Source organism: Homo sapiens, chromosome 4 (genome assembly GCF_000001405.40).
Source record: "Homo sapiens chromosome 4, GRCh38.p14 Primary Assembly".
Taxonomy (NCBI): Eukaryota; Metazoa; Chordata; class Mammalia; order Primates; family Hominidae; genus Homo; species Homo sapiens.
The window spans coordinates 72558641-72569844 of NC_000004.12; the positions used below are offsets into that span (position 1 = coordinate 72558641).

At 40.7% G+C, this 11204-nt stretch overlaps 1 protein-coding gene across 3 annotated transcripts in view; it reads right to left on the reverse strand.

Annotated features, from left to right (window-relative positions):
• ADAMTS3 (ADAM metallopeptidase with thrombospondin type 1 motif 3) overlaps nucleotides 1–10581 on the reverse strand; it is a 288253-nt gene extending 277672 nt beyond the window's left edge. Inside the window, exons 1-2 of one of the 3 annotated variants that reach the window (NM_014243.3) lie at nucleotides 10054–10581; nucleotides 8734–8761 (exon numbers count right to left, since the gene is read on the reverse strand). In NM_014243.3, coding sequence (NP_055058.2) covers nucleotides 8734–8761; nucleotides 10054–10122 — 97 coding nt within the window. In that variant the 5' untranslated portion in view covers nucleotides 10123–10581. The other 2 variants (XM_011532422.4, XM_011532421.2) reach the window with 2 other exon arrangements.

Here is an 11204-nt window from a genome sequence, read left to right on the forward strand (position 1 = left end):
CCACTATCTCCCACCCAATGTGCTGGAAAGCTATTGCATTTGAGGTATTACTGTATGATGTGTGACTCTTCAGCATGCATCCCTCCTTTTTCTTTAACTGCACACCGATTTCCCTTCAGGTTAACCATGTCATACTCCAGTCACACTCCTTACAAATCAGAGGTAAAATGCCCCAATCCAGGTGAATCAAAGTACTGCATCCCCTGACCACAGTGAATGATTCAAGCTTATGACTAAATCAAGTAGCCAATAAAATCTCTACCAGGAAATGTACTGGAACTGTCAAAAAAGAGGCATCTCTCTTCTGGAGTGAAAGGTAGAATGACAGCCTGGAGATGACAGCAACAGTCTTTGCCACAACTTGTGGGAGGTGTAGGGGGAGGTGAACCAATCCTACTCTGAAAGAGAAATAAAACCAATACAGAGGAAAAATGAGAAAGATACAAGGAAAAAGAGAAAGAGGGAATAAGAGAAAGAGAGAGAGTCCATGAGAGTATCATTTGAACTCTAGATCCAACTATACCTGACTTTGAAACCTCATCAATTTTGTTTTCCTTAACCTGTGTGAACTAGGTTCCTGTCACTAGCATCCAAAGGAGTCATGACTTCTACATGACTTCTGTTAGCAAACTGGAATGAAGGGAATTCCAACAAAATAAGGTGTAAGAAGTAAAAGAGTTGTATCTGGTAAACATAAAATATAGTTGGCATGGAATCCATATGGAATAACTGGTTTTGCACCATTCCTTTCTCAACTCCCTCTCTCTACTGCTATATTACAATTAATTAAACAATACTACACTGAGATACAAACATGAAGATAATACATGAAAACAAAACTCTCAAAGAGCTGTCACATGGTGAGCTGACTGGCTGGACAGTTTACAAGTCCATGGCACAGGAAATTAAAGTTCCTGGAAATTCATGGTGATAGGCAGACCTACCTAAAATGTACGGATTAGAATGAAGTACCTCTCTTTGAGTAAAAGTTTTTTTAAAAAAAGAAAAAGAAACAGCACAAGTCAAAGACACACTAATAACAATAGTTATGATTCTATCTTGTTTACAGCGTAGCAGCATTTTATGAATGCTATGAAGTAAATAGTAGTATTTTCACAAGACTATGGCAAAGTAATTTATGGATTCAATGCTATTCCCATTAAACTACCATTGACATTATTCACAGAATTTTTAAAAAACTATTTTAAAATTCATATGGAACCAAAAAAGAGCTCATATAGCCAAGACAGTCCTAAACAAAAAGAACAAAGCTGGAGGCATCAAACTACCTGACTTCAAACTATACTACAAGGCTACAATAACCCAAACAGCCTGGTACTGACACAAAAACATACACACAGGCCAGTGGAACAGAACAGAGAACTCAGAAATAACACTGCACATCTACAACCTTAAACCTGACAAAAACAAGCAATAGAGGAAGGATTCCCTATTTAATAAGTGGTATTGGGAGAACTGGCTAGTCATATGCAGAAAATTGAAACTGGACCCCTTCCTTACACCTTATTTAAAAATTAACTCAAGATGGATTAAAGACTTAAATGTAAAACCCAAAACTATAAAAAAAAAAAACCTATAAAAACCCTAAAAGAAAAATCTAGGCAATATCATTCAGGACATAGGCACAGACAAAGATTTCATAACAAAATCACTGAAAGCAATTTCAACAAAAGCGAAAATTGACAAATGGGATCTAATTAAACTAAAGAGTTTCTACACAACAAAAATGTTCATTGCAGCACTATTCACAATAGCAAAGACATGGAATCAACCCAAACGCCAATCAATGATAGACTGGATAAAGAAAATGTGATATATATACACCATGGAATACTATGCAGCCACAAAAACGAACAAGATCATGTCCTTTGCAGGAACATGGATGGAGCTGGAAGCCATTATCCTCAGCAAACTAACTCAGGAACAGAAAACCAAGCACCACATGTTCTCACTCATAAGTGGGAGCTGAACAATGAGAACACATGGACACAGGGTGGGGAGCAACACACGCTGGGGCCCATTGAGGGGTGGGGTGGAGGAGAAGAGAGCACTAGGAAAAATAGCTAATACATGCTGAGCTTAATACCTAGGTGATAGGTTGATAGGTGCAGCAAACCACCATGACACACGTTTACCTATGTAACAAACCTGCATGTCCTGCACGTGTACCCTGGAACTTAAAATTAAAATTAAATTTTTTTCTAAAATGTAGTATTATGCATATGTTACACACAAGAAAGTAACACTTTGAGAGGTTAAGGTTACCAGCTAGAAAGCGGTGGAGTTAGGACTTTAAACTACTCAGTCAACAGTGTCTGTGCTCCTGACCACTTGATAGAGGAAATATGAGTATTAACAGGTCCTCTCCTGGATATATAGATTTAGATTTTAGATTAAGAAATGGGGCCAGGGCCAGGCACGGTGGCTAACACTGTAATCCTAGCACTTTGGGAAGCTGAGGCGGGTGGATCACAAGGTCAGGAGTTCAGGACCAGCTGGCCAAGATGGTGAAACTCGTCTCTACCAAAAATACAAAAATTAGCCGGCGTGGTAGTATGCACCTGTAGTCCCAGCTACTCGGGAGGCTGAGGCAGAGAATTGCTTGAACCCAGAAGGCAGAGGTTGCAGGGAGCTGAGATTGTGCCACTGCACTCCAGCCTGAGCAACAGAGTGAGACTCTGTCTCAAAAAGAAAGAAAAGAAAAAGGAAATGGGGCCAGTGTAGTCCCAGCTACTCGGGAGGCTGAGGCAGGAGGATCGCCTGAGCTGGGGAGATCAAGGCTGCAGTGAGCCATGACTGCATCACTGCACTCCAGCTTCTGTTACAGAGCGAGACCCTGTCTCAAAAAAAAAAGAAAGAAAAAAATGAACTTTACATGTAAAAGAGAGAGGTTCTTACACGTAAAGGAAAGAGAACTGGAACTCATGAATAATGCCATCAATCATTCTTTTTGTTTGCATATCTAAATAAAAATATACTTACTAAATATTAAGAAAAATTGTTGGAAATGTGATTTACTATCTAAGACCACAGTACCTGAGGAATCATATATTTAATCCTGTTTTACTTGCTACAAGTTTCCTAATGACTATTTTTGTTTTATCAATCACTTCAAGAGCAAGGTATACCTTTTCATGCTGCTCACAATTTGTTCTAAATTCCATGCAGATTCATCATGCTGAATTTGTGGCAATCATTTTCATAAACAAGAGACTGACATTTTACCACAAAATTTCTCCTAGGGATTTACAGTTAGTCAGCAAAGTCATGTAAACTTCTTTGGAAAATCAGGAGGTATAAATTATATGTGGGAACAGAGGTTGCTATGCTAGGAAACTTCCCGTGCTTCACTGTCCATTTTCAGGAATATACAACTCTCAGATTGCACTGTATGAGGTAGATGAGTCTTCTCGCAGTACTAATAAAATTACAAAAACATTTGTATAATATGATTATTCATATTTATTGGGTACTTGAGAGTTAGAAAAATTACGAATTCGCTGCATCTTTCAGATTGCATAACCAAATATTTAAAAATTATATTCAAATATCAAAAAGAAGAAAGAAATAATTCTAAAGTGAAATTTTAAAAATCAATACTTTCCTAAGTTGCTAGTAGGAGTTCAGATCATACAGACTTGTTCAAAAGCCATTTGTCAAAATGTATCATGTGAATTTGTTTTTACTCAGTAACCAACTTGTGGGGCTCTCTCCTAAAGTAGTCACTTGAAATGCAGGCAACGACATATACATACACAACACTGTGTGGCAACATTCACTATCATGGGAAAATAAATACTGTTAGGAAAATGATTATACAAATTAGAGTTTATTAGTATGATGAGATTAAAATGAAGTTCAGAAGGAGTTTGTAATTATGTTGAAAAATTGTACTAAAACATTAAACAAAACAAAAACAGTTATACAAAAAATACAGTGTGTGTACTGAAAGAAGTTTGAATAAGAACATGCTAAATTATAACAGCAGTTTGGGAACTGGAATGATTTTCAAAAATCTTAAGAATCCAGAAAAATTAAAGAATATAATTACAGTGGGCACTTGTAAGACATCAACAATCTGGGAAAACACTGACTAATTAAAAAGAAAAAATTCAACAACTTATAATAATAGAAGTAGTATAGTTTAGGAATAAAATTTGATCTCTACTACACGAACACTAAAGAGAAGATTCTCAAAATTCTGATAATAGCAATCCTTTTTAAAGAAGCATTAAAGTTCCATTGAAGTCATCATTGTCAATATATCCTTTCCAAGCACAATAACCCAACTCTTCATATCAAAATTACTCATGATTTTGCCAGGCAATTTGGAATGGTTCCTAATGGATTTCCAAGATAATCTGGGTTGGCTACTCAAAGTAAAGAATGTTTTAAGATCATCATTCTGGAAGCAGAGGCGACCTTGAGGGTTTTTTAACATTTCTGAGCAATATTATAATTATTTGGTACAATGACAAGGAAAAGCAGTGAAAGCATGGCTAAACACCAACACTAAGTTGTGATAATGGTGATACATAGCATGCTGCACTTAATAAAATTTTCACCTAAGAATCTTGAAGCAGTTAACATTCACCATAATCATGCTCAATGGAGGGACAAAAGATAAATCAGTAAAGCCAACTCCATTACCTTTAGTTACAAGAAAGAATAATGGCTTGAGTAGCTAAAATTCTAAATTTTACAAAGGATCCCCCTAAACCTCCTTCACCACACTTTCTAGTACTGCTGCTGGCAAATTGGATTGACAGATTTTAATCTTAGCTTAGCTTATCTTTCCTGATGCCAGCAATAGGGCAAATGATCCCAAGTAGGCTGTAGTTAAAAAAACAAAAAATTAGTTGGCATTCCAAAACTGCACATAGAATTCAATTCAATTTACCAAATACTTATTGAGTACAAACAGAAAAGCATACAAAAAATGATAGGCCTAGGTCCCTGTGCTTTGTGGGGTGGAAGAGGAGTCCCAAGAGGCCTTGATAACATTGAATAATTAATTGTATAGCCATTGTCACCATCTTCATTTTCTTAGGGACCAATTCAGCCTGGAGAAAGGCACAAAACAAGAGCATTCAAGGAAATTCAGAACATAGATAAACCTTAATATAATAATATCCTGCTTGCTAGATCTATTCATTGAATAACCAATATTTGAGGACCCACAAGCTACCAAGCACTGTTTTATGTACTAGAGATACAATTGGCATCAAAACAAAGTCTTTGCTCTCATGAGGGTTAATCTAGTGACAATGTTTACTGGTCAATAACTAGGTAAGTGACTCACACTAAACCTTACAAACTGAAACCTGAAAATGGTGAAAAATTATCTCTTAGTAAACTAGATATCTGAGAGAGTAAGATTAGCAACTTTATTTTTTTAAGATTGGGATGTAATGGAATTTGCAACTGAGGAACAGAAATAGGACAGATGCCCCAATTCCAAGAGGAATCAGGAGATGGAAGATATGCCCCAATTCCAAGTGGGGTCGGGAAAGGGAAGACAGCTTAACACTAAAGGATCACAATGCTTTTTCCTCAAATGATACTCAAGCAATCTCAGTGGTGGCTTATGAAACAAAAGGACTCAGAGAATTCTTTTTCAGATTTTCCAGTGTCTACAGAACTATGATTATTTCCTAAGCCACATGTGTCATTGAGCAAGCCTCCTTACCCAATTGGACCAGCCACACCAGTTTCCCACAATTAACTCAGGCATCCTACCAAGGCAATACTCTGAGTCAGAAATGACAGTGCTCCCTGATACGCCCTAGAAGTATGTCAATGATCTCATGAAACATACTTACACATATATACAGAAACATACTCAAACACACAGATATATATGTATGTATGGGTATAGGTAGGTGGTTAGAGAGGCAGTTCCTATCTGGTTGACAAAGAGGCACACAACTAGGTCAGGGTTCAAAACCTATTTACCCATTTTTTCTAGGGTGAATCCTACTTTCCCACATACCAAGAAGGTATTATTCCACTGGCTGAAGAGAGAAGGAAGGAGGCAATATCCTGCATGAGACACTATATTGGTGACATAGCTATACATATTCTAACCTGTCCCCATCACAAACTGCCTTCTCTTTACCTAAATAAAAGCCTTCCTAGTCTAGAGGGTTGAAGCATATAAGATATATTTTTGAAAATTGACCTTCTAAGTTAAATACTAAGAAGTACATATCCTGTGACTCTAGTTACAAAGAGCATGAAAAACTGACACAATCAATTTATCCTGTTAGAAGTCAGGAGAGCAGTCACCTTTCATAACGGGAGAATGCTTGGCAGTTGGCATGAGGGACGTACAGGGATTCCAGTAATGTTCAACTTATTGATCCAGCTGCTGACTGCTGACTGCACAGGAGCATTCACTTTGTGAAAAATCAGCAAAGTACACTTATATGCACCCTCCTACATCTATACTACACTTCAGTAGAAAGTATTTTTAAAATTTAGTTTCTTAACAACTTGTGGTTTATTACTCATTTATATTTAACCCTTCCTGAAACATTAAATTATTTAGAAATTATTCAGGGCCATGAAATTTATTTTCTAGCCAATTTGTTGAAAAATAAATAAATAAAATCTACAAACATTATTTGTCTTTCCTAATGTATTTCTGATCAAATAACACGTCCCCAGGTAGTTATATAAAACTACTTCTAAATCAGTTAATAGAAAAAAAATAAATAACGTGTTCAGGAGTGCATTTCACCAAATCTCCAGGTTAGCAGTGTAGCAGTGCCTTTACACATGGGAACAGGGGAGCAAAACTAATCACTGTACATAAGATTTTCTTACATATGATACATAAACCAAAGTGAAATGATAGTTATACTTTTGCTATCACAAGACCTGTGGGCCAAAATCTATTTTATTCAATCTGTTCTTCTCTTCATTCAACTGGAAAACGATAAATAAGAATGGTAATAATAAAAGAGAGAAATCCCATAAAACAGATGAATATGGGAACAAGTAAATCTTCAGCACTACACCCTAAGAGGGCTCCGCCTCCTCTCTTTCATACTGACTTATCTCTCCTCTGCCAAATTTAAGGACACCTGTACTATTTTCTTCCCTTTAAAAGGGCTACCATAGTAATTTACATTAGCAAAACAACTGAACCAAACTTCGGTTCAATCCAGGGCCTCTTATATGAGAGCATCCTAATTCTATCTTAAAATTCTAATCAAAGCTATATATTTTATGAAATTTTTTGGTGGAATGGGTGATCTTAAGACATCTTTTTAATTTGCATATTGAAAAGTTGGGACGTGTAAGTAATCAAATATTTAAGTAATTAAAAATAAGACAACTTTCTTCTCCCTACTTAAGAGTTGGTTAAAAAAAATTCTTTAAAAAGATAAGGATTGATGGCTGAATGTTATCAACTACGAATGACAAGTATCTGATCATAAACACTGTACTTTTAGGGCAGTTCTCAGTGCCTTTCCTCCCCACTGTTCTCCTCTTGCCGTCGAGGTCTAAGCTTGGGAAATACATCCAACAATGCTAAGCACTGAGTAGGAAGGAGCATTTTGATATATGCTCATATATTACAGGCTACATATACACACCTCTGGGCTTAGCTCTTGGGTTTCTTAGTTAACAAGTGTGAATCTCCACTGTGTACTATAACAGGTAGCTATGCAACCTCTCAAGCTTCATTTTCCTCATCTCTAACATAGGCACAATAGTATCCCCACCTCACAGTGTGGCTGTGGGAATCAGTTGACATAACACATGAAACAATCAACACTGTGCCTGGCATTTAATAAACGGCCAATGACTTGTAACTATGTTTGCAGCAGCAGTTATAAAAACTTTTCTTCTAAAAGACAGCTTTACAATATCACCTGACAAATACAGAATTGACAGAGACTAATACTCTGCCAAAAAGAAAAATTATCTTTTAAAGTAATCCAAGTAAAATGTGTATGAAAAGACTTTGAATGTAGCCTGGCTTCTTGCCAGATGACTTTCAGCCTCCGCATTCACAACAAATACATTATTCTAAACAGCTTCAAGAAAGACCATGGACTTCTGAGTGACCTGTTGCAAGTCACTTACACTCTCTGAATCTCAGTCTCCTCACCCATAAAATGGGAGTAAGAATCTCCACACCATCAGAAGAGTACTGGGATTTTAGATATTAGCAAAAGGCCTAACAGTATCTTTCACATTAGGAGATAATTATTTTAAAGCAGATTGAATAACAGAAGTCATCAGAGGATTTACCCAAAGCAGGAAAGATTGTAAGAGAAAAATTTCCATGCTCTGTACTTCATTGTTCTCTTCTATGTAGCATTCTTGCCTTCTGTTGTACTCAAATGTGCTCCTCCTAAATGCTACAGAAGTTGATGATTTTATTTCATTCATCTCCATATCATCTTACAGCCCCTCCATCATCTTCCAAGTACATATCAGTGGCTTGTACAAAGACAGTAATAAACTGATGCTTGAAATGTCCAACTGCAGGAGAATTTTTACCTCACTATAATTTAGCCCCAGGAAAGTGGGACCTTCCTCCAGAAAGAGGAAGAGAAGAACAGAAATGTTTCCGGACTACAGATTATTTTTTTTAACCACCAGTGGGAAACATTTCAGAAACAATATTTTGCTTAGCTCACTTCATTCCCTTACTTTCAACTTAAGATAAGAGTGACATCTGAGAACAAAGCTTACCTATTTGCACCATTTCTTCATTACCAGCCTGGAAAGGAGGGGGAAAGCAAGAAAAAGAAAGTTACTGGGTTTCATCTTATCACCTTGTGAGTTTTATTTCTACCATTAATGGTTTCCAAGAGCTAACTAATCAGGAGATGCTAGAGACTGGGATTGGTGCCTAAAGCCTGCACCTTGGTTTGTAGAAGGTTCCATGAGCCAATTCCATAACAATTTGGGGAAGGGAGTTGTTTGCCCCTTTTCATTTTAATTTAACACTTATGAAGCCAGCAAAAATACATACAGACTCTCAATGCTCTCTTCTGAAATGTCGTACTGGGTCTGGATTAGAAAAGAAAGTATGAATTTAACAGGCCAAAATACACCTAACAGGGGGCCTGATTAATCAGATTTAAGGTCAGGAATCAACTAGACAATTCTCTACTTTTTACCCTATGGTCGTTCAGACCAGGCCGACCGGAGAAGCTACAAAAACTAACAGAGAAATTCTGTACCCAAAGTCCCATCGGCCCAGTGCTGATATGATTTACTACAAACAGCTCCCCTGGCGGAGCCTTCTCAAGGACTCTTCTGAGAGCATCGGGCTTCACCTTGAGCCTCCAAAGGGTTGGGGGCAGGGCCGAAAAGAAACAGAGCTGCACTCAACTTAGCTTTAAAAAGAGGAGGAGTTGTGCAGAGGGGGAGGGGAGAAGGCGGCCGGCGCCTGCAGCCTCTGCCCAGGAAAACGGAGGGCAGGAAACGTCTCCAGCCCCCCTCCCCAACTGTCAAATCCTAGCCCGGCCGTGGTACTCCCAGGACACGTGTCTACTGGATCTCTCCCTGTCCGGCCCAAGGACTTCCTGAAACCCCCGCCTCCGGCTGCCCGAAAAAACCGTGAGTCAGTTCGGAGGAGAGAAAGCTCCAGGAACCCGACTCTGGCGGCAGCAGCCAGAGCGCTGGGATCCCGGACCCAGCGTCCAGAACTTCATTCAAGCGCCCAGACCGCCCTCCAGAAAGGGGAAGCCCAGATGGCCCGGCGAGGATGGGAACTGGCTGCGGTTTGTCACTAGGAATTGTTACGAATGTCGCAGACTGGTGAAGCCCTAGGTGTGACAAGACTGGGCTCCCGGAGTGGGAGTCGTAACCTCCCGTGCAACTCAACCCTCTACCCCCAAAAGCCCGCACGCTGCGCCCAGCCCTCAAAACACCGTTTCTGAACGCAAAAGATAACAGGGAAGGGTGGGAGGAGAAGGAGGAAAGAGAGGAGGGTAGAGAGGGGAGGAACTTTTCGGGAAAAGGTTGGGTTTGAGTTTTTTTTTATTGTTATTATTTTCCACTTACTTGTCCATCAGCTGAAGTCCTAACCTCTACCAGAGCGGCTGCTATCAACCAAAGTGACAGGAGAACCATCACGAGTCGAGTTCACTTTCCAACTACTGGGCAAAGCAAATGCCCAGAGCAAACCCACCCCCCCCGCCCAAAATAAGTTTCTTTAAGAAAAAAAGGAAAAGGGAAAAAATGCGAAATAGAAAAAAATGATCTTCTGTGCTTTGCTTCAATGAAAATGAAATTTGAGCTCTGAGACTGGCCCCCTCTGCTCTGCAGTTTTTTCCACTTCACCTTCTCACCCCGTCCTCCCAACACAGAGTGTGCAGGAGCGAGAAGGTGCTGTAAGCGGGCACAGGCTAAGCCTGGGAGAGGGGGAAGGGACGAGGGGCTTTCCAACTATCTCTGCCCAAAGCAGCTTTTTCGAGGCTTTTCGAGCACCATTGGTCCCTAAGGTTAGCGCGGAGAATGCTTGGGTTCCCCGGAGCACAGCAGGGGGAAGTATTAGCGAGAGAGACGAGCGAGCGGGAGCGGGAGAAAGAGGCAGGGAGAGGGCGACTCCGCCGCACACGCAGAGGTGGGGGCGGGAGGAGCGAAGGGGAGGAGGAGAAGGCAGGCGGAGGAGGTGGGAGGAGTGGGCCGCTCGCCGGCTCCTGTTGCTCGCAGCGCGGCAGTCTGCTGGCTGCTGGCGACCCGCGGGGCGCTAATAAGGCGTCCGGAGCTCCCCGGACTGCCCCTCCCGCCGTGGCGCCCACGTCATGCGGGGCCCGAACCCGCGCCCCCCGCACCGTGTCAGGATTGGAGACCGCTCGGGGGCTGGTGTGGCCCGGGCTCGACCTCCCACCCTGGAGCCTCTCCTTCTCCGCCTAGGGCGAGAGGAGGGGAGGGTCCAGGGGCGCCACCGGTCCCGACTGGCGGGACGCGCGTTGAGTTAATTATAGGAAGGGGGAGGGTCCGAGGGCTGGTCCTGGGCTGTAGGAAATTCACCTCCTCCAACCTCCACTGTTCTCCCAGCCAGAGAATTCTCCCCGAAGAGAAGCCCTGGAACCTCCAGATCTTAACCACGCGGTGATCTCCCTTCCAGGCACCAGTCACCTCCCACGTTTTGGCAGGGGGTGTCCTTCTTTGTAAGCTCTTGTTTAGGCTTTATTCGTTTATATTAGTTT